Raw genomic sequence first — 23,213 nt, 5'->3', positions numbered from 1 at the left:
GCTAGGTGTGGCTATTGATGGTTCTTTTATTTTCCTCTAATTTCTTGCTGATAAAGCAATTATTTGCTTGTGTCACATGGCAGCTGGAACATAGCAAGGTGGTTTACAAGCTCCACATTCTGTATCTGGTGTAGTTTTTAGTTAAATGGCAGGTCTTGCTCTCTCTCCATTTTGCTGTTTCTATGGGTTAAAACACACACACACACACACACACACACACACACACACACACACACACACTCTTCATTTTGAAATTTCTTCACAGATTGTCTCCAAAACATAATTAGAGGGCTTAATGTTGCAGTAATGTTCTGGGTCTGGCAGTAGCTAGAAACTGTGCCAGACAAGGGATCTGAGTTCTGGATCCGAGCCTTCCAGCCCCAGCAGAGGCAACACATACTGCAGAATAGAAGGAAGCAACTGTTGCTACTGCCCTCTCCTCCAACTTCTTATACTACCTCTTGCCTTTCTTCTTGAAGAGACCTAAGAATAATGCAGCTAATGAATCTACATAGAAACAAGCTCCAGAAACTGGGTCAAGGCCAAGTAGAAAGGACAAACCAACTCCTATTACGTCAGGTCAATGTAGAAGCACATCTGAGAACTGAAATCTTGCTGCATCCCTAAATTTCCATGTCATTGAACCCAACTAGGGATGGTTATGAGTTTTCTAGCTTGTTAGGAGTCATTTCCTCAGCTGCATCTGACAACTGGAGTGACACCCCTCGCCACTGCTCAGACTGTCTCAAAACACTCTTCTCTCAAGATGCTCTAAGGGAAACGGAAGTGTTCCCTGGTCAAAGTTCGGTGGTCCCAAACTCAGTCTCCCAGGTCTGCTCCTGCATGTTAGCACCTTTCAGGCTTTGAGAAGTCTTATGCGCAGAAACACTGTTTAGCCGAGTTTCTCAAATGGAATTGGCCATTGAATCTGTTATGGACTGAGTGGTGTCCCCTCAAAATTCTCGTGTGGAAGCCTCAACCCCCGATGTGATGCTCTTTAGAGATGAAGCCTTTGGGAGGTGATGAGGGTTTCATGAGGTCATGAGGGCAGGCTCTGGTCTGTTAGGATTAGTGCCCTTATAAGAAGAAACAGCGATCTTGCTTGCTTTCTCCCCACCACATAAGGACACAGCAAGAAGGCGGCTGTCTCTAGGCCGGGAAAAGCGCCCTCACCAGTCACCAACCATGCTGGCGTCCGAATCTCAGACTGCCAGCCTTCAGGACTGTGAGAAAACAAACGTCTGTTTAAGTCACGAAGTCCACAGTATTTTGTTATGGCAGCTCAAGCTAAGACAGAATCCTTCATCCCCTTTTCATAAGACCTATTTTTAATATTCCTTGGAGCATACTTGCCCCATAAATATTGCCTAACAAAAGGAGCATTTTATTTGGTTCCAAAATTCTCTTATCACAAACCTTCAGACTTGCAAGGCTCTGGTGCTGTAAAGTTTAAGTATGAACATGAAATGGTGTTTAATTCCGTGACTTGGGGCTGCTGGGTGCCATCTTTAATGCTTGGGGCTTTCAGAGAAATTCACTGAGGCCAGAGAAATTGAGGAAACTTGAGGTTCTGTCCTCCTTTGACCCTGTGCCTGCTTATCTTCCATCCCTACCTCTCCCCGCCTCCATAGCTATTTCTAGAGAGATCACCTGTTCTTTTATATCCACTCCCTAGTCCAGTGCTGTTATCCATACCAACAATTCTGTTGAATCCTCTCCCTGCATTCAGGAGTGACCTACTGGTTGCCAGGTTCAGGAAAGAGTGCAGTCCCTTGTCTTATTTGATTTCCTCTTCCCTGAAGGGCTCTCCTCCCCTGCTTCCTGTGGCCCTTTTCTGGCTTTCTGTGGTCCCCTCCCACCTCTGTGGCCACTCCTCAGGATCTTCCAGAGACTCGTTGTTATTGGTATTCTCCAGGGCTCTGGCATTCTGCCTGCACAGACCCTTATAACCAAGTCACACATGAACCCGTGGCTGGACTTGCCACAATAGGTTGAGTCCCACATCTTTACCTCTAGCCTAGACCAAGCCTTCACACCCCATAGATCCACCCTCTCACTGGGTGTTGTATGTGTGCCCTAAATTCAGCACCGCCTCACTGGAATTGCCATCAGCTGCTCCATTGTTCTTCCAGCACTTCACCAAGTCTACTCCTTGCCTTCTGTCCCCCTATTCATGACTGATACAACTCTCTTTCCATTTGTCTGGGACGTTGCCTCCTCCTTCCTCCTGTCATTGCCTGTGGATCAGCCTGCTAACTTCCCAGTAGGCCCTGGCTGGGGCTGTAGTTTAGCCCCCTGTTTGCACGGCAGTGCCCTCCTGGCTGGTCTTACTGGTGCTCGAGTGTCAGAAGGTGGTTTCTGAAGTATTCATCTCTGCTTGGAATCCTTCCACGGCTCCCAGTCCACCACAGGGTGACACTGCCAAGGCCCATCTCCATGGGCGTCTGCCTGTAGGACCCCCTGGGCTGCAGCCCAACTGGGGGCCTGCACACTCACTTCATCCTCCAGTGTGGTTCTGAAAGCCACCTCCTCTGGCAAGTGGCACTTCCTCCTGCTTCAAGGTGAATACTACTTTGTGTAAAACGATGACACTCTGCTACAGTTGGGTGTCCAGCTGTCTGTCCCCTTCCCTGGTCTACAAGTTCCACCAGACCAGGGGCTGAATTTGCTCAGGTCTGTAGCACTATACCCTCCCAGTGCCTGACACCAACCAGGTGCTGAGTAAATGTGTGAATGAAAAAGGAGCCACGAGGAGAGCTCTGTGGAAACACTCTTCCCTTTGGGACAGATGTTAAGAATCACTTTTAAGCCCACATAAACCCTGAGTGGCACCACTTAGTATACTTCCATTTTCTCCCTTAGAGCCTTGATGTTTACTTCCACATGTGCCAGAACAGAGCGCCACCGCTCTCCTTTCCCTGCTAAGCTCTTGAAAACAGAAAACGAAAACGCACACATGCGCGAGGTTCAGTCGGTAGCACCAGCCCTGCCCGTGATGCTTCTTTCACGGCACGTGATCTCATCCCGGTGTTGACTCTCAGTAAGAAGCCCCCCAGGTTTCTTGTGTGGATGAAATGATTTTTTTCACTCCTCTGTATTTCTTGCTTATGCATCTGGCTCCAGTCCAAGTGTGAACATAAAGTGAGGTATATGAAAGTGAGGAATTCAGTGCATTTGGGTTGAGTCTCACAGGGCAGAGAGATGACCAGACATTTCTTTTGGGTGGAAATTGACCCAAAGTGCAGATTTGCTCATACTCTGCTAGAAAAGCAAACACATCTCGGCCCAAGTATGTACCAGTTCTGGTATTTTTCAAATTTTTCCAAAAAGTCCTCAAAGCCAAAGTGTTTTTCGGCTGTTTTCTAGTAGATTGTTGTTGCGTTTATTTTATTTTTGTGTGACAGATTTGTGCTTGTATCACTAATAGCTGTCATCCTCTGTGTGTTGGTTTTGAATGACACCACATCATTTTGTCTTAGGCCGTTGGCTTTTGAGCAAGTTACGTCCAGTGATAGAAACACAGACACTCCATGTCACCTAGAAGCTGACTGTCTACCATGGCTACGCTTGGTAGGGGAGGCATTGCTGAAAGGCGCCTGAGCCATGCAGCTCCTTCATCGGCAGGGATTCCTCTAGAACCTCATTGGAGGACTTTGCTGAGTTTATCACTGGATTGTGGCTCTGGCCCCCTTTGGACTGTGAAATAAGACACAGTTCCTTTAGGATGACCATCAAGGACTTTGTGATCTGCTCCCAAACTCCCTCTCCCAGTATTATTACTCAGAAGATGGCCTCCTTGGCCTTGCCTTGAAAGTCTCTTTGGCCACTAGCCATGGTTTAATTTCAAAATAATTTATTTAAATCCCTGCTATTATTTCTCGACTTTCGGCAAGCTACACAGAGTTTGTTGTCTGTGTGAGAAGCAGGTCTCGTGCAATTCAGGGCAAGCAGTTTGGATTCTCCAACTTCCCTTGTGACTTTCATTTTGAGGCTAATATTTGAAACTAACATATTTGTTGCCAGTGGCATCTTTTCATGCATGTCAGGCCTCTCTCCATCACGCAGGCTCCTCCTGGTATCCCTGTGCCAACTCTTGGGGAAGATTATTTGAGGGCTCCCGACAAAGCGATTGTCATATACAGCCGTCCCTGGATATCCTTGGGAGATTGGTTCCAAGACCCTCGAGGATACAGAAATCTAAGGATGCTCAAGTCCCTCGTGTAAAATGGCATAATATTTGCAGATAACCTATGGAAATCCTCTCGTATACTTAAGTCACCTCTAGCTTACTTATACCTAATACAATGTAAATGCTGTGGAAATGGTTGTTATACTGTATTGTTTAGGGAATTATTATTCCTAAGCAAGAAAAAAGTCTGTACCATCAGAGGCCTGACTCCATTTTCCATCCATGATCGGTTGAATCTGTGGATGCAGAACTTGAGGATATGGAGGGCAGTGTATACCATATTACCTGTGCTTTAAATCACATCATTCTACATATTCCAGCCAAATTTGGTGATAATCTCCTCTTTCTATCCTTCCTGCACCGTTTCCTCACCATAGATACTTTTTATTTTGGAGAAAGTTCAGACCTACAGAAATGCTGAAGGACTAGCACAGTGAACACTCACATACCCTTCCCTGCATTCATCGGTTGTTAACATTTGCCCGTATTTGCTTTATCTTTCTTTCATATGTGTGCAGACAATGATATGATCTCACATCATCTTTTCATATTCAGTAATGCCCTTTATACTTTAAGATTTTTTAAAAAATTCTTTTACATTCTTTTTAATTCAAGATTCAGTAATGAATCACACTACACTTAGTCATTGTATTTTCTAGCAATCTTTAATCTAGGAGTTGTCCCACTTTGCAGGGGGAAGGGTTGGGGGCTTTCATGGGAAGAGGGGACCCAGAGACTGCTCTGGAGTGTCAGCTCCTCAGGGCCTCTCTTTGAAACACCCAGGGACCAACGGCAGGGGGTCGCCTGTCCATCAGCACTGGGAGGGGTGACGTTGTATATGATAAAGGAGGGATTTAGGATATGTGTGGTTCCTCTGTGGTGGGAAGTGTGCATTCAGAAAGAGGACAAGGGAAGCAAGAGAGCTGTTGGAGGAGGCAGAAGATTTGGAATGCAAGATGGCGAGATACATGGAATAAATTAAACACCTCATGCCTGCTCTAAGATAAATCACCTTTTCATAATATTTGATTTCCTGCCCCAAAGGCTCATCTCTGTCTAGCCAACAATTCCAGCAGTTTTACTTTTTTAAAAAATCCAGTATCTTATTCATGGCAGAGGTGGAACATTCCCCTGTCCCTTTTTCTCCTTAAACCTACAAATCTGAAACAAGACCATAATAGATTTCTCTCTTGGGAGATCCCTCAATTTTTTACTTATAAATAATTCATTCAAGGCTCCATTGAAGTCTCTCTCCCTCTCTCTCTCTCTTTTTTTTTTTTTTAAGATGGAATCTCAATCTGCCACCCAGGCTGGAGTGCAGTGGCGCAATCTCGGTGCACTGCAACCTCTGCCTCCTAGGTTCAAGCAGTTCTGCCTCAGCCTCCTAAGTAGCTGGGACTACAGGCATGCGCCACCACATGAGGCTAATTTTTGTATTTTTAATAGAGACTGGGTTTCACCATGTTGGCCAGGGTGGTGTCGAACTCCTGACCTCAAGTGATCTGCCCGCCTCGGCCTCCCAAAGTGCTAGGATAACAGGCATGAGCCACTGTGTCCAGCCCAGTGAAGTCTCTTGACTGTGAAAACTGGTAGCATTTAAGTGTGTGTTGGGGCATGTTCTAGTTTTTAGCAGCATATTTGATGTATAATAAAAAGTGTTCTTGGGATTTTGACTTGATGTTAATAACTCCTTAATGGAGCAGTGATTGGAGGATGATATGTACATAGGACCTAGGAAGGTCACCAAGTTGTGACACTTGGAGCCGGTGGTGGTGGTGGTGGTGGTGGTGGATCCCTGGGTGCTGGGAGAGGGCAGAAGGCAGGCTCTGGTGAGATGCTGCACATGGACCCACCATGGGCGCCTTCCGCCTCCTGAAGCCCAGATCCCTGGGGCCACCTCATTTTTTTTTTTTTTCTCTTTTCAAGGATTGGTTGGTCAGCATTTTTTCATTTCCAAGAAATATCACAGTATCTTTCCAGTAAGTTGCCCCTTTTTCCTTAAACTAGGTTTGTTTTATGTTGCTTGTAACCAAAAGAACTTTTTAACAAATACAGATATTTGGGTTGTTTACATTGTTTTACTGTCATTTGCAGAACTTCGAATATCTCCATCCTTCCTCCCATCTCATATATTCCCACTTTTATAGAAGTGGAATTTCTGGGTCAGAGGTCTTCCATGTCTGTTTTCGCTGGTGTGTTCTGCCAGCTTCACTCTATATGGTTTACTGATCTGTTCCCACCAGCAGCTGTATGCATCTGTCTCTCTCTCGGCATCTTCCCACAGGTGACTGCTACCATTTATTCATTTATATAATATTTGCAAGTTTCTCGGGGAGAAACATTGTTATTGTGTGTTTTTTTGTTTGTTTGTTTGTTTTCTGCTACTAGAGAACTTGAATGATGTTTTCATATCCTTATTGGCCGTTTGCATTTCTTCTTCTGTGACCATGATGTTGTTTATACCTTGTCTTTTTTGTAAATTAGAGTATTCATCTTCTTTCTCTTGATATGTTACGACTCTTCATATTAAGGATGCTCTGTCAAATGCGTTGGGGAAAATAAGTAATGTTATTTGCTTTTCAGCATTATTTACTGTATTTTTGAAATATAGATTTTTAAAATTTGGATGTGGCCAAATCATTAAATCTTTTATTTAATGGAAAAGCCTCGTAAAATGTTCTGGAAGGGACTGAAATGTATTGTGTAACACCTGGCCTGGGTGTGTCTTGATGGTAGAATGATTGTATGTGTTTAATACACATGTCTGCCGTGGAGCGGAGGGAAGCTTATTGTTTGTGTGTCATCACTTCGTCAGTCCATCCCCCCAAACCTCTCCTGAGGGCCTCCTGGGTTGGGTGCGTTGGGGAGATATGAGTATGCTTGGGGGAGTCAGCCCTGGGTAGAGAGGAACTTAACTAGGCCAGAGAAGGTTTCTGCCATGGTGATGGGCAGGAATGTGCCCATCCTTGGCGGAGCTGAGGGGGCTATGGCCACTGTCTCCCAGAGGCAGGCCTGGAATGGGAGCATCGTCATCGTGACGAGAGTGGGATTGCAGCCCACTCCTTCCCGGGTTGTCTTCTTTTTTTGTCCTCTTTTTCTCACCTGGTCCCCTCCAGGATATTTTTCACTGTCACATTGAGCTTTTAGAGTATTTGATAGTCTCTTGTTGAGTACCATTAGTAAGCTCTGAAATCAGAAAAGTTTAAATTCTGCTTTTATTTAACCATTTTACCAGATGTTTCCTGTGGCTTGACAGATGTACCATTTACTAGAAAGTTACACTCCTGAGATTTGGAATGTTATGGACACTGTTGCTATAGACAGTGATTCTGTCAGGGCAGGATTTGGAAGACAATTTTCACATCATTTTGGGGTTGAAGATGTGTTTTTCACCAGAACAGAAATGCTATTTTCATAATCTGCTTTTATCTTGTCTTTTATAATTAGAACCTCTGGTTTATAAAATACTATATCTGGTTGATCAGAGTTTACTCTGATAAATACCGTGGTGCTTCAATTGGTGTTACTTTCTGAAAGCAGCTGGGCTTGGGTATATCAGGGTCTTGTTTGCAAAACTGACCTGGGTGTAAAAGAACTCAGGTAGTGGGCAGGTGGAAATTTAAATTGGGCTGAAAATCTTCTGCTTCACTTCTCCGGGCTACTTGATGCTGGCGTATGGCTAAGACATCTGCAGACTTAGCAACTTCTTGCACCCACCTGTAAGTTCACCAAGACAAACCTAGGATGGCTGTGGCACCTTTGCTTCTCCAGTGCCTGGAGTCACCATCTGTGGCAGCCTGAGTCCTAAGAGAAAAGCCTCTCACCTAGGGTTCTGCTGGTGGAAGGGAGGCAGAAGGAAGTTGCTTCCTACAGTGCAGGAGTGAGACTGTAGTTGCGGCTGCAGCAGAGAATAGGGGATTTCTGGCATTCCTTCTCTGAGGGGCCGGCTGCAGCCCTGCTGTGGAGTTGCATGCATCGTGCCTTCGGAGCGTCTCCACTTCTGCAGCAACCTTCCTCTCCTGTGTTTTCTTTAGCCTTATTTTGAAGTTTTATAAAAGCCTTATGTTATGGAAGATGGAGAAACAAAGAAAGAGGAAATCGCGTGCTGTAATTCTGACAGCAAATCTATTTTCTCACCAAATGGAACTGTAATGATGCGTGTAGCGTTTTGGCAAGGCACCCTCTATAAATAAACCCTCCCAGGAGTTCCTGACCTACCCCAGGACCCATAGGAAACTTTTATTGCAGTGCAGGGGGCAAGCAGGCCCCTTACCTCGCAACCCTCCTTTCAGGGAGGACTTTTATTCTGACAAGCGCCCGCCCATCCAGTTTTGTGCCTGAGACTGCTTGCCAAGTTTGTGAGGCCCAAGGCTTTCTTGTGGGAGGACGCTGGGCTGTCTTCATGCTCTTTGGCAATGATTAAAGTGAGGTTAGTACCAAGAACCCTTTCATTTTATTCCCTTATCCTTGCTTTTTCAAACCAGATGGCAACCCTGTATTTTCAGCTGTAATTAATTTAAACTGCGAGACAGCAAGTGCTGGGAGAGGTAGAGTAGTCTTTGCTTAGAAGGGACAGCAGTGATTTTCCTTCTCGTCCCTCCCTTCTCCCCAAACGCCACCTTGTCCCAATCAGATTTGTGCCATGCACAGTTTCTCCTAAGCGGGGACTGGAATGGGAGAGAGGGCTGCTGAGAGCAGCTGCAGCATGGCTGCCTGCAGTAGCTGGAAGGGTTAAGGCACACTAGTGATTGTTTCCTTCATGGATTGGAAGTAACCAAGTTTCAGGTGATGGCTGTCATGTGACCGCCTCTAGACAATGGTGCATAGTTTGGCTGCTGATTCGGGGAGTACAAGGTGCTTTTTCTTCCCACTCAGTCCAGCTGCCAAGATCGCCTCCAAAAGGGGGTATGTTTTAGGTTTAACATTTATTCTTAAAGAAAATTACAAGGGAAATAAAAGCACTTGGCTGCAGTTGGAGTCTGGAGGGTTTGACCTCAGCTATTTGACCACTTCTCTCCATGGAAATTGTACTTGAGTCCCTGCTAAGTTGCCTTAGAGTGCAGGACCAATTAGAGATTGAGAGATCTTTCACATTTAATAGAAAATGAATGCTTTTGTTTCATCTCTCAGTAACTTGTACGGTCATTCCACAGAGCAGCCTCTCCTCCCACCCTTTTGTCCCCTCCTTGTTCCGAATGAAGCTGGGTTGAAAATGGAGAGTGGAGTAAGTGACTGCTTGAGGGCCGGGTGTCTAGGTATGCTCACCTGCCTGCACAGATGAGGACCCTCCGGGTTTTAGTTTCATCATTCGAGAAATGCACTTTCTGGCCATTAAAGAGAAGTTGCATGGCTGGGCACGGTGGCTCACGTCTGTAATCTCAGAACTTCAGGAGGCCGAGGCAGGCAGATCACCTGAGGTCAGGAGTTTGAGGCCAGCCTGATCAACATGGTGAAACCCCGTCTCTACTAAAAATATAAAAATTAGCTAGGCGTGGTGGTGCATGCCTGTAATCCTAACTACTTGGGAGGCTGAGGCAGGAGAATCACTTGAACCCAGGAGGCAGAGGTTGCAGTGAGCTGAGATCGTGCCACTGCATGCCAGCCAGGGCGACAGAGAAAGAGTTATCTTTTTTTTTAAAAAAAAAAAAAAAGGAGTTGCAGATTGAAGAGGATCTGTTAACATAATGTATATGCAAAGCACTTTGTAACACTGTACACCAATGTTATACAAATGGTCAATATGTATTGCTGTTAACATTAGCCATCCTCCGATGACTTGAAACAATTTTTAAAGGTTCACAGTGAGAAATGAGAACCACAAATATGTAGCTTATAAGTCTCCGAAATGCTCACTGTTGATTACAACATCATTGACTCCAGTGGGCCCCTTGTGTGCCCAAGTTTGCTGGATTTAGTGAGCTGGGTGGTGAATATTCTTTGTTGATTTAACTTTTATGTCCAGTGTTTACATTATTGATGAACATTCATTTCTCTCATGAACCACTTGGGCTGTTTTCACAAAGGCTTACAATTTCAGTTATTGTTGTGGACAAGATCCATCCTTTTGGAAACCTTTAATTTTTCTCTAGTAGAGAGGGCCAAACGTTAAATGAAAAATGCATCCTATACTTCCCACCTCCTTTACTACCAATGATGTGTTGAACATTAAACAGAATTATCATATGATGCAGCAATTCTGCTTATAGGTATACACACGAAATAACTGAAAGCAGAGACTTGAACGGATACTTGCACACCCATGTTCATAGCAGCATTATTCACAATAGCCAAAAGTTGGAAACAACCCAAGTGCTCATCACCGGATGAATGGAAAAACCAAATGTGGTCTGTACACACAATGGAATATTACTCAGCCTTAAAAAGGAAGGAGATTCGGACCCATGCTACCACACAGATGCACCTTGTGTAAGCCAGTCATGGAAAGACAAATGTTGTATGATTCCACTGACATGAGGTTCCTAGAGTAGTGAAAGTCCTAGAAGGTAGAATGGTAGTTCCAGCGGCTGCAAGAAGGAGGAAATGGGAGGTTGGTGTTTAATGAGTGCAGAGTTTGGGAAGAGGAAAAAGTTCTGGAGACGGATGGTGCGGTTGGCGGCACAACATACCAGTGTACTTATTGTCACTGAAAAGTGGTGAATTTTATGTATGTAGTACTTTACCATAGTAAAAAAAATATGAAAAACTGTGATGACCAACTTCAGGTCAACTGAATAAACATTAATGAGTCCATTGTGTGTGAATCCTTTATATTCCATACTCATCTGGGGTGACTGAGGCTGTGAAGGAGAGTCAGGCAGCTTGGAGGGCAGACCGAGCTCCAGGAATACAGTATTTGGTGCCTAATAATCGACAGATGTGATGCGTGATGACCACCGGGGGTGGTAATTTTAATTTAATTCAAAGAGTAGTGAAGAGTCACCATTACCATCTGGTTTGGAAGCCCTCGTACAAAGGAAAGGTGCATGAAACTTGGGGTGCATGAAACTTGGGGGGGAGGGTGCTTCTGAATTCTCTGGAGGCATTATTTGAATCATCAACTCACGAGTTTGGGGGAAGAGATGCCACTTCAGTGTTGAATGGAATGATTGAACTCCCCCCACGTTCTTTTCAGTCTTCCACACTGCACACTCCACAGACGAACACTTCTGGGTGAAATATGATTTTATAGCCAGGGGGTTGCATCTAGATGTGAGTGATGTTACAGTGAAGCTCCAGAGATAGCTTAGTTCTGAAGTTTTTGCAGAATTTGAAAATGAGACTATTTTAAAAGAAATGCAGTTTTATAACTCAGATCAATGAAATAGGCTCTCAGTACTGTTTTTTTCCCGTGGGAACTCTGCTTTATTTGTCATTAGGGTGTCCATTGTCAGTAAAGCAGTAGCCTTGCTAAGTACCTGGAGGTCCTCAAAATAATTTTTTCTTTAAGTAATGTAAATCTTGTTTCTGTAAAGCAGTCTGGTTTTTTTTTTTTTTTTTAGAAAGTTAGCTTGGCCAACCCTTTCCCCCTAGTTTTGGAAAGATGGAGCGTAGCCCTGACTACCTGGATGCTCAGAGGCAGTTCATGTTGAGAATTAACACACTACATGATTGGCTCTCAGGAGGAAGGTCCTTACGGTCTATTAGTACTTTAAAGAATATACAGTAGAGGCCAGGTGCAGTGGCTCACGCCTGTAATCCCAGCACTTTGGGAGGCTGAGGCGGGCGGATCATGAGGTCAGGAAATTGAGACCATCCTGGCTAACACGATGAAACCCCGTCTCTACTAAAAATACAAAAATTAGCCGGGCGTGGTGGCGGGCGCTTGTAGTCCCAGCTACTTGGGAGGCTGAGGCAGGAGAATGGCGTGAACCTGGGAGGTGGAGCTTGCGATGAGCAGAGATCACGCCACTGCACTCCAGCCTGGGTGACAGAGCGAGACTCCATCTCAAAAAAAAAAAAAAAAAAAGAAAATATACAGTAGATGCCTCAAAATCTCTTACTAGATGAGCATTTAATCACTTCGTATACTCAATACTCAAATTTTCAATGGGTGTATAATAATTTAGCTCAATAGTTTTGGGGTTTATTTATTTATTATTATTACTTTTTTTTTTTTTGCAGAGTTTCTGAGTTCAGTCAGGGTAGATCGGTAACTTTAAGAGGAAAATCAGGTTTGATATTTTTATTTAGTGCTGAATAAATTTATTGAACCAGAGGTCTTCCTGTAGTACGGAGAAGTCCACAAAATAATTTCGAACTGGTTCCTACCAACCTTAGGGCTGGACCATGGGAAGGCGGCTGGCATTCAGGCAGTTGTGACCATGCTCCGGTGTGTGGGGAGGAGGAGACTGCCACACACCACGTGACGCAGAAAGGAAGTCTGATTATTTGTCTCTCATATGCCTGCACGCACTCATTCATGTCTGGTCTTTAGCCAGTATGGGGTCACAAAGCTGAAATAATGGGAAGAAAAGGATTGGAGACTTTTATGTGACCACACTGTGCAACATGGGTGTGGAAGTGCCTACTGGCATCTTGGGTTGTTTTGATGAAAGGATAGTACTGGTGACTGCAGGTCTTGGAATAATCCTGATGCTTTAGGTTAGTTTTTATTAGACTGTCTACGCTGGTGTTTCGTTCAGAAACGTGCTACGATAAATGGAAGGGAGTGAGTCCTTGCCTGTGTGCCCTATTTCCTTAGGCTGCTTCTGGAGTGTGACCCTCTTAAATATGAATGTTCACTTGTGGCATGTGCCCTGTGGGTGACAGGTTGGATAAGGAGTCTTGTGTCAGAGTAATTTGAAGGAGAATTCTGGGCATGGCAAGGTTGACATAGAAGTCCTTTTCAGTAGTTGGACGAGGAAATAAGATTCATTGAATTTTTCCAAAGGGCAGACCTGGGACCAAAGAATTGTATTTGAAGGCAGAGTTCATTCATTAGGAGGGAGAACCTTTAGGAAGGAGGTAGGCAGCTGTCTGGATAGTGTTTAAGCAGCAGCTGTGTGGTGCTCCTTGAGGGAGGCTGGGATTCCACATCTCTCTCCTGTTAAAACCATTTTAGTGTGAAGTGTTCTCCTGAGTTGGACAAAGCATCCAATCTTTCCAGTGTACAGTTTTTTTGGGGGGTGGGGTCTTGCTCTGTTGTTCAGACTGGAGTGCAGTGGCATGATCTCGGCTCACTGCAGCCTCTGCCTCCCACGTTCCAGCGATTCTCTTGCCTCAGCCTCCCGAGTAGCTGGGACTACAGGCATGCACCACCACACTTGGCTAATTTTTGTATTTTTTGTAAAGACGGGGTTTCACCATGCCAGGCTGGTCTTGAACTCCTGGCCTCAAGTGATCTGCCCGCCTCAGCCTCCCAAAGTTGAGATTACAGGCGTGAGCCACCACACCTGGCCACTAAACAGTTTTATAATATTTTCCAGCAATTTGCTGCATAATATGGAGTAAAAACTAAGAGTGAGCCTTCAAAAGAATTTGAAATTTTGAAAGATGACAGTGCCAGTCGCAAGAACGAGAGAGGGAATGGCAGAAGGTCTCCTCAGACCACTCGTTTCTAGGGGGTTGGCGCTGGCCAGGGCTGTTCTCCTTGGGTTTCCCCAGGAGCCCCAGGGCCATGGATGGCCCAGCCCTGGGTCACCCAGCTTCATGAGCTCCTCTGTCTGACTCTAACCTGTTGCTGCTGGTTTCTCCTGAGAATTTGTTTAGTTTTCGGTTGGCTCATTCATAAAATAGTTGTGTGCCAGGCCCTGTTCTAGACAGTGACTTGCAGACACTTCTGAGCAGCCTACCGAGCAGACACTGTTCCCGTTTCCCTCCAGGGGTGTCTAGAGGGAATGTGTCTTCTCTCCTAGTCTTGAGTTGGTGGATGGGCTCTCTCTCCACCCTCTGCCTTCCTGAGGCGGGCATCGGAGGCAGTGGGTCCTGCCCTCCACTTTTCCAGCACAGGAAAGGCCTTTCCAGCGGAGCTCAGAGTCAGATTGAGGGTGTGGGGTGGAGTGAAGCAGCAGGGAGAACAGGACGTCTGGGTTGACTAGCACTGGATGGTCTTAGTGGTCAAATGCCTTTTCTTCACCCCTCCCTCTAGTCCTCGCCTCAGCTGTCTCAAGTAGTCCCCGGAGGATGGCAAGGCAGGATGCCGACATGCTGATGCCTCTGCTGCTGTGCAGAGATCGCCGTGTCTCCCAGGGTTTTGTCCACCTCAGACACTGCAGCTCAGTGAGGAAGGAAAGATAGAGTGTTTTTCATCCCTTCTGTGATACAAGGACTCTATTTAATGTCAAAAATATGATAGTGGTTGTATTTTTAACATATTCCTTGAGAGATTACATAATGACAAAAACAACTACAAATTAGCAGTAGGAATTTTAAATTCTTTTCAATTTTATTAATCTCAGCAACATCTCCATTCATTTGAAAACTCTAATGTGGGACACATCTGTTTTGCCTGTAAACAGTGCTTAGCATGCACATGGATTCCTGCCCCATCTGAATTAAGTTCTGGGGGTCATGGCCGCAGGTGGGCATCCACTGCTGGCTGTGCTCTCACAACTACTTCCCTGGCAACAGTTGCTAACGTGGGGGCAGGTGAGATGCTTTACCGGTCATGTTCTCAGCCATGACCTGTTTCTCAAACATCAGTTTTTCTTAAAAAACTAAAGCTAATAATGGAAAACACATGTAGACAGTTCTGGTTAAAGAAAACTGGTACCTTATTTACATAGAGTTGAGCTATTCAGAAACGTGACCTGAGGATCTGGGCAACCTGGACGGGCTCCGCGCTGCTGGCCAGCATTTCCGTGAGTCCCGCCTCTCTAGAGGCAACGGGTCTGGAAAGCCTGCACACATTGCCAAGCAAAGAGGGTCTCTGAATGCTGGAATTGGATATGGGAAAGTTGCAGGGGTTGGCCCCAGACTCACTCAGAACCTGTTTGCTCTGACTTTACGCCTCATTCTAGCCAAACCAGCCACCTGGCTTTTTGGGCCACCATAGGGAGAATGGAAAGATGGAGACTTCCAGCAGCAGCGTTTCCGACAGGTCTCTAACTAAAATCACTTAGAGTTTCTCTCCTAAGGCTGGTGTCTGGGATCTTTCTTTAAGCGGCTGCCGCTGGGTAAGTGCACACTGTGGTTCCGGATCCGCCAGGTTTCCCAAGTGTCTTCCGTCCCTTGCACAGATCTGAGGACCGATTGTGCCCAAGGAAAGGAGGGACCCACTTTGCCCTCGGAGCTCCTTCCAGTCTCAAGGAGAGAGAGGGGCAGACTCACACACGATGCACATTCCAGCTGAGCTGCTGGAGGGAGTCAAAAGAAACTCGAAGGCTGGAGCATGTGGAGATGCTGGCTATGCTGATTTAATGACTGTCACTCTTGAGAGCACAGTGACTGGAAACCCTTGGCGCAGTTAGAGAGACAGAGTCCACACTGACAGGAGAGCAGCAGAATGGACGCCCGTTTGCTCTGACAGCACTCAGTGCGGCCGCCTTCCCTCTCGCACCACAGACCTGAGCTGCTTTTGAAACCCTCCGGGCATTGGCAGCAGGGGAGCAAGGACCCAAGTCCCTACTCTGCCACCTGCCAGCCACATGGCCCCAGGCAGATCCCTCCACCTCTCAATCCACTTTTCCTCGGTGTAAAGTGGGAATGGGGGGTTGGCACGAGCGTTGAAGAAGAGAGAGGAGGAGATGCAGGAGTAATGAAAAGATCTGCGGCTTTATTCTTTCATCCTCCCCAAACACTACCAAGCCAAAAGGGTTTTGGATGGTAACTCGGCCGACAAGCTTCTTCCCTTTTGTATGTAGGCGCATAAGATGGGGCTCTTTTTCCTGGCTTCCTGAACCATATTTGGGGGCAGCTAGCCCTCCAGCTTTTAAAATACACACACACACACACACACACACACACACACACACACACACACACACACACATATATAGTTGAATTGACAGTAATTGTACATATTCATGGGGTACATAGTGAAGTTTCGACATGTGTCATGTAGAGTGATGAGCTCAGGGTGGTTAGCCTCCATCAAACATTAATCGTTTCTTTGTGCTGGGAACATCCAATATATGGATGTTGTTTGAAACTGTGTAGTGTATTATTGTTAACTGCAGTCACCCTACAGTGGTCTAGGTGACCATAGTGCTGGAACTTACTCTTCCTACCTGGCTGTAATTTTGTATCCTTTAGCAAATCTCTCCAGCCCCTACCTTCTCCCTACCCTTCCCAGCCTCTGGAACTCTCAGCTTCTTACTGGCAGGTCTGGGCTGACTTGGCCTGCCCAGCTCTGGTCTCTGTTTGGACTGTCATTGTGCGGTGCTCGTGCAGTGCCTCAGGATGACAGGCATACAGGACAGGTGACCGAGGCCCAGTGGATCTCAGGACCTCTCTTTAAATGTCCAGAGGAAGCTTTAAAAACTTTTAGGTTGATCATAGATAAAGCAGAAGAAACATGGGTGTGGCAAATATCTAAAGCCGTGTAAAGCAAGGCAGCGGGTGGGTACGGCCTAGGGAATTGTGTTCGTTTCCTAGGGCTGCCATAACACAGGGCCACAGATGGGGTGGCTTAGGGTAAGAAAAACGTATTGTCTCACCGTTCCTGGTGCCTGAGATCAAGGTGTCAGCAGGGCTGGCTGCTTCTGAGGGCTGTGGGGAGCGTCTGTGCAGGCCTTTCTCTCAGCTGCTGGTGGCCTCTGGCATTCCATGGCTTGTTGATGACGGTCTTCTCTCTGTCTTCACATCTTCTTCCCTCCGTATGTGTCTGTCACTGTATCCAGATTTCCAGTGTTTTCTAATAGGACACCAGTCACATTGGATTAGAGCACGCCCTCATAACCACAGCTTACTTGGTCTTCGGTAAAGACCCTATTTCAGATAAGCTCACATTCAGAGAACCTAGGGGGTTAGGACTTCAATGTCTTTTCAGGGGGACACAGTTCAACCCATTACAGAAATTAAAGGCAGTTCACAGCATAAAGTAGAATGGTCAGTAAGTGTATGAAAAGATGCTCAACTGCGCTGGTAACTGAAGAAATGCAAATTAAAACAACAAGAAGGAGTGATTTCATGCCAGGAGAATGGCAGAAATCCATAGGCTGCCAAGGCCAGATGTCACCGAGGATACACAGCAGCAGCAGTGGTCAGCCATGGCCGTCGGAGGGACAGCAAAGTGGATGGCTGCCTTGGGAAGGTTTCTGGTCACATGTGTTGAAGTCGAAGGTGGATGACCTGCAAATACTGACCTGAGAGAATGTCAGAAGCCCTGTCCCCAGCACCAGGACACATGTCTGAGGACTTAAGCACTATGGGGCCATTTTCTTTCTTTCTTTCTTTCTTTCTTTCTTTCTTTCTTTCTTTCTTTCTTTCTTTCTTTCTTTCTTTCTTTCTTTCTTTCTTCCTTCCTTCCTTTCTTTCTTTCTTTCTTTCTTTCTTTCTTTCTTTCTTTCTTTCTTTCTTTCTTTCTTTCTCTATTTCTTTTCTTTCTGTCTGTCTTTCTCTCTCTCTCTTCTTTTCTTTCTTTCTGTCTGTCTGTCTGTCTTTCTTTCTTGAGACGGAGTCTTGCCCTGTCACCCAGGTTGGAGTGCAATGGCTCGATCTTGGCTCACTGCAACCTCCGCCTCCCGGGTTCAGCCGATTCTCCTCCCTCAGCCTCTGGAGTAGCTGGGATTACAGGCGCCCACCACCAAGCCCAGCTAATTTTTGTATTTTTAGTAGAGGGGGATTCGCCATGTTGGTCAGGCCGGTCTCAAACTCCTGACCTCAGGTGATCCACCTGTCTCGGCCTCCCAAAGTGCTGGAATTACAGGTGTGAGCCACTGCGCCTGGCCTACGGGGGTCATTTTCAGAAGGAAAAACCAAAGAGTGCCCAGGCGCCGGTCCATAAAGGAACGGGTACATATGCAGTGGTGTATTCGTATGGAAGAATACCACAGAGCAGGCAAATAACATGGATAAGCCAGGTCTCTGTGTTGGAACATGGGTAGAGCTCCAAGACCAACATGAGGGAAAGACACGGTTGTACAACAAGACATACAGTGTGCTGGCATGCTGGAGTGTGAAGCATGCGACGGATGTGTGCTTCCGGACACATCCACGTGTGGCAAGAGGACGACAGTCAGGTAGCAGGAGGCACCAAATACAAAACAGAGGATGCCCCAGGGGACGAAGAGAGGGGAATGGGACTGAGGAGGGCCTGGAGCAGGGACCTCATGCGTCTGCATGTTCTGCTGCTTTCATCATGGCCAGAGGAAAGAAAAGGCCCGAAGCAAATATGAGAGCACATTTTCATTTGCTAGTTCTGAGTGGTAGGTACACGAGTCTTTGTATTTTCCTCCCTCCCGGAAAATGGAAAGGCTTTGGAGCCAGTCCAATATATATTGGAATCGTTGTACTAGTTTTGTAAACTTAGAAAAGTTACTTAGCCTCTCTCAAGCTCAGTTTACTTATTTGTAAAATGGAGATGATGCTTATTTTGCAGTGGGGCAGTGAATTTACTAAGATGAGGTCTAGCATATGATTGGGCATGTCCTTCAATAAATGAGAGCTGATGATAATAAAGATACTCAACGTCAATCACTTACTCAGAGATTCCCCAACTTTTTTTTTGAGACAGGGTCTCACTCTGTCACTCAGGCTGGAATACAGTGGTGCAGATCTCAGCTCACTGCAACCTCCATCTCCTGGGCTCAGGTGATCCTCCCACCTCAGCCTCCAGAGTAGCTGGGGCTGCAGGTACGTGACACCACGCCCAGATAATTTTTGTATTTTTAGTAGAGACAGGGTTTTGCCATGTTTCCCAGGCTGGTCTTGAATTCCTAGGCTAAAGCCATCTGCCGGCCTCGGCCTCCCAAAGTGATGAGATTACAGGTGTGAGCCACTGTGCCCGGCCAATAGGCTTCTCACGCTGGGACCGCAAGCCACAGCTGTCTCGCAATAGATGGAGCAAATGAGTCCTGTGTTGCCGGGTCCATGGAGTTGATTTCTGAAATCTGAACCAGCAAAAAGAGGGACACTACCTTTGTGGGGAGTATTTTATTTTTATTTCCTGAGACAGGGTCTTACCCTGTTGCCCAGGCTGGAGTGCAGTGGCTCTGTCATGGCTCACTGTAGCCTTAACTTACTGGGCTCCAGCCATCCTCCTGAGTAGCTGGGATTACAGGCGCTACCATGCCCAGCTAATTTTTGTATTTTTTGTAGAGACGGGGTTTTGCCATGTTGCCCAGGCTGGTCTCGAACTCCTGGGCCTAAGCAGTCCACCTACGTTGGCCTCCCAAAGTGCTGGGATTACAGGCGTGAGTCACTGCACCTGGCCCCTTTATGGAGAGTTAATGGGGGAAACATTACGTGGGTGGATGGTTGTGGCAGTGATGCTGGCTGTGGCGGCATTCGCACTCGGGTTTCATTCCCTTGACTTTTTGGTGGCTTTTTTTCAATTATTAAGCAATGTTAAGCTATGGCAGTAGTTGCTGACGCATAGAAGGCAGAGACAGTCTCTGCCCTGTGTCCCTGCCAGCGAGGATGGACCCCGCTATTGAAGCCAGGAGCCTCAGGGTCATCTCTGTCTTTGGGACAGTCCGAATGCCGGTATTTTGCCAGCTTTTTCCTGCCCACGACACACTTCTTGCCATTTGTACTTAGGAGGGTGTCTCTGCCTCAGCCTCCGCCACCTCGGCAAACATCGTCTTCACCCAGGCCTTCCTTTGCAACCACTTCCCTCACTTCCCGTCTAAAATTGGCACAGAGGAGTGACGCAGCTTGACCAGGATGTCTTGGGGACACACCCAGGCACCTTGTTGCTCACTGGGAAGCAGTGAATTCTCCCACTCACAAGGGGAGAGAAGCCACGGTGATGAGTTCACTCCTGTGTGTGTGTTGTGGGGTGCTTTGGATGAGCTCGGGGACATTTAGAAGCAGGGAGGAGGTGAGGAGGACAACAGAAGTTGGAGGAAGGGACTAAAAGGGAGAAGACATCTCACCACTGTTTATGCCCAACATTTAAATGTTCCTTAAATTTTGCTTTTTCAGAAAAAAGTCTTTGCCACCAGTCATTTTCTCTGAAATCTCCTTAACTCCCTTGTCATTTGCCACAAACGCTGTTAACTGGACTCACACATACTATGTGTACCTTAATGATTTATTTACTCTATGGACAGTTATTAGAACATCTGGTATGTGGTCACCCGTGCGGAGCCAAGGAGATTAGGGCGTGGGGGCTGCAGTGTCAGCCTTCCCGGGAGTGCACGGTCCAGCCAGGGACCGGGGTCCCCTGGGAGCTGTGCTTCAGAAGCTTACTGACTGAGAAAGCCAGCGTGGCAGGACTGTCCGGGGACAGACCTTGGTGGCCGGCATCTCCGCACTGCTCCTTTCCTGTGTCTCTGCAGTTGGGGCAGGAAGGTGGGTGGAAATGGTGCTGGTGGGTCGGAAAGGCCTCCTGGCAGCTTGGGATGGAGCTGCGAGGTGATGGAGAGTCTCTTGGTGGGCCTGGTGTGACGACCCTGAGCGGCTGATGCCACAGGGCCGGTGTCTGTGGTGGGCAGCATGTCTAGGCAAAGCCTTCATCTTCTCCACCTTGGTCATCTCTTCTGTAAAACTGGGATGGTGCTGACCTGCCCTGTGCACATCAGAAACCCCAGGGGGCAGCAGGTAAAGGTTGGGAGGAAGTTCTGTCTATATTATTCAGGTAAAATTTTATTATTTAAAAAGCTGTAGTAAATTAGCAGAGCATACAGCTGACCACTTTAACCAGGTTTCAGGGCACCCTTCAGTGGCATTAAGTCTGTTTTCTGAGGAAGCTTTTTAAGATTAAAGATGTGCTAGCAATCTTATTTATTTAAAGACAGGGTCTTGCTCTGTCACCCAGGCTAAAGTGCAGTGGCGTGACCATGGCTCACTGTAGCCTCCACCTCCTGGGCCCAGGTGATCCTCCCACTTCAGCCTCCAAGTAGCTGGGACCACAGGTGCACGTCACCATGCCCAGCCAGCAGTCTCATTATGATGTGTTAAGACTGTGTGAACGACTGGCTGTCCTGCCAGTTCTCAGATGTCGGATTCTCCTGTAACTGCTGCGGTGGGAGAGAGAGGACGAAAGGGCTGGAGATGGGGCTGTGTCCCGGCCCACTCACTGGCCCTGTGCCGGCCCCTCCTCCTTTGAATCTCTTGTCTCCACCTGGACTCTGGTGCTTGGGGGATGTCTCTGCATAGCCTTCATTCTACTCCTGCCAGGCAACGCCTGGCATGGGGACGGGCTGCTTTGCCGCCTCAGGATGTTGGTTTTTGGGAGGCCAGGGCCCAAGGCTGCCCTGGGCCTCATCTCTTTCACTGGGTGGGAGCACCTGCCATGCCATGGTGCTCAGGGGCCTTTGGGGACCCCAGAATGTATCCTCAAAATGTCTTGTACCCATACCCCCTCCCCAGGCAGAGGAACTCAGACTCAGATCAGTGTAGCTTGTGGCAGTCCACGGTGAATGAAGCCCAGCGCAGGCTCAGAACGTCAGGTGATGGGGCTAAGGGCTAAGCATCCCAAAGCACGTTTGTTGGAGGGTGGGAAACTCATTTTAATGAGTATCAAATAGACGCAGTGCACTTCTTTCACGTGATGGATTCTTTCAATGTCACTGCTTGGAATCTGGTTTACTTTTCCCCAGATGTTATGGACATTCTTGGTTTCTTAGCTTAGAGAGCGTGTGGCTTTCAGTACTCAGAAAGCTCTGTCCTGGATGATGGTGTTGTAGGCCTCTCTTTCCCTCCCTCCTCTTTCCATCTTTCTCTCCGTGGGCAGCTGGCAGTGGAAGTGCCCGCCTAGGATGGGGATGAGGCCCGGGGCGGGGCCGGGTGCCGTGCAGCCTCAGCGGCTCTGATAGGCCTGGCACGGAGCCACTCAGAGTCCTTTGGGTGTTCGCGGGGATGCCGTGGGCTCTCTCGGGCACAGTCCTGACCAGGAGCGGAGGCGACTTCCATCTCCCGGGCAGGATGCGTGCGGTTTTCTGCCGTCCCCGGGAGCACATGACGCCTGGGAAGCAGTGGCCGGGAGGTGATTCATCCGGGCGAGCGGGGCCTGGAAAACAATGTCTGTCTTGAAGCTCCGGGAACCAGGAAAATGAGCTGGAAATGTGAGTAATGTATAATTTTACTAAAATTAACCAGCCAGTTCTCCAGGCCTTTTCTCGCTGTTTTCAGTGTCTTTGTCTGACCCATAGTGCCCACTGTGCTGTGTTCCACGGACTGTCTTTCCAGTTAGTGGGCCTGGAAGTCCCCTTCTCCCTGCTGCCCTGCGTAGGGTGGGCGCACAGTGGGGCTGTGGGAGCATAGATGGCAGATTTAGGTGCAGGGCTGCCCCGTCCTTACCTCTGCCCTGGCAGCTGGCGGCCCTGGCACCCCTTTCCTCTGTGATGTGGTCTCATAGTCATGCTTGGATTTCCTAAGGCGCAGCTGAGTCATCTGCGTGACTGTGCCGTGCCCCTAGGACATAAGGTGCGAGGGGTGGGCAGTGCCTTATGTACCACGACTTTGGCTTTGGACATGGGCAGACGCCTGACCTTTAGTCTGCTCCTCCATGCCACCCGGGGGTGTCTTTATCCTTGCCCGGATCCAGAGCTGTCACTTGGGAGCTGCAGCCCCTCCCGGGCCTTTCTGTCCCTGCTAGATTGTAAGCCCATGAGAAGGCAGGGCTGTAACCCTGCAGTTCTGGAACCTCCACAGAACAGGGACTTAACTAGCGCTGGTTGAGTAAACAGACGTCTAAATTCGGAGGCAGACTGTGTCTGAGGCTCTCCTGAATCTGGGACATGAGCCCCCAGGTCTATGCACTTCATGAAGTGGCCCGTGGAAGCATCACCTGGGGTGGAGAGAAGCCATTCACTCATGTTGTTAACAATAAAATTGTATCTTTATCTGAATTTAGAAGGGAGCGGGACACTGAAGATGAGGATGTGTGGTGACACTGATGAACTGAGTATTCAGGAACCAAGTCCCGTTTAGGTAGAAGCCAGCAGATCTCAGGACTGCTTGGCCTGACGTCCGTTCC

At 47.4% G+C, this 23,213-nt stretch overlaps 2 protein-coding genes across 17 annotated transcripts in view, besides 2 other annotated features; one reads left to right on the top strand and one right to left on the bottom strand.

Moving 5' to 3' along the window:
* The window catches only part of VGLL4 (vestigial like family member 4), a 165,749-nt gene that overhangs the window by 130,912 nt on the left and 11,624 nt on the right, over positions 1 to 23,213 (top strand). Inside the window, exon 1 of one of the 15 annotated variants that reach the window (NM_001128220.3) lies at positions 8,548 to 8,618. The exons of 13 other annotated variants lie outside the window; for them this stretch is intronic. In NM_001128220.3, the coding sequence (NP_001121692.1) occupies positions 8,605 to 8,618 (14 nt within the window). In that variant the 5' untranslated portion in view covers positions 8,548 to 8,604. Of the gene's footprint in view, positions 1 to 8,547; positions 8,619 to 22,105; positions 22,300 to 23,213 lie in introns of those variants that run through there. One more of the 15 variants, NM_001128221.3, reaches the window with a different exon arrangement.
* Positions 6,647 to 7,485: an enhancer, noted in NCBI's record as "H3K27ac-H3K4me1 hESC enhancer chr3:11624893-11625731 (GRCh37/hg19 assembly coordinates)". NCBI's record gives its function as "activates a minimal SCP1, AML or CMV promoter by ChIP-STARR-seq in naive and primed H9 embryonic stem cells {active_cell/tissue: H9 hESC(naive and primed)}" and the evidence as "EXISTENCE:reporter gene assay evidence [ECO:0000049][PMID:30033119]".
* The window catches only part of ATG7 (autophagy related 7), a 303,957-nt gene continuing 295,294 nt past the window's right edge, over positions 14,551 to 23,213 (bottom strand). For both annotated transcript variants that reach the window (XR_007095622.1, XR_007095623.1), the window contains exon 20: positions 14,551 to 16,982. The gene's annotated coding sequence lies outside the window, so the exon portion shown is untranslated. The remainder of the gene's footprint in view (positions 16,983 to 23,213) is intronic.
* Positions 15,320 to 16,140: an enhancer, noted in NCBI's record as "H3K4me1 hESC enhancer chr3:11616238-11617058 (GRCh37/hg19 assembly coordinates)". NCBI's record gives its function as "activates a minimal SCP1, AML or CMV promoter by ChIP-STARR-seq in naive H9 embryonic stem cells {active_cell/tissue: H9 hESC(naive)}" and the evidence as "EXISTENCE:reporter gene assay evidence [ECO:0000049][PMID:30033119]".

The sequence above is a fragment of the Homo sapiens genome, chromosome 3 (genome assembly GCF_000001405.40).
Source record: "Homo sapiens chromosome 3, GRCh38.p14 Primary Assembly".
NCBI lineage: Eukaryota > Metazoa > Chordata > Mammalia > Primates > Hominidae > Homo > Homo sapiens.
This window is presented reverse-complemented; position numbering and strand designations above follow the sequence as displayed.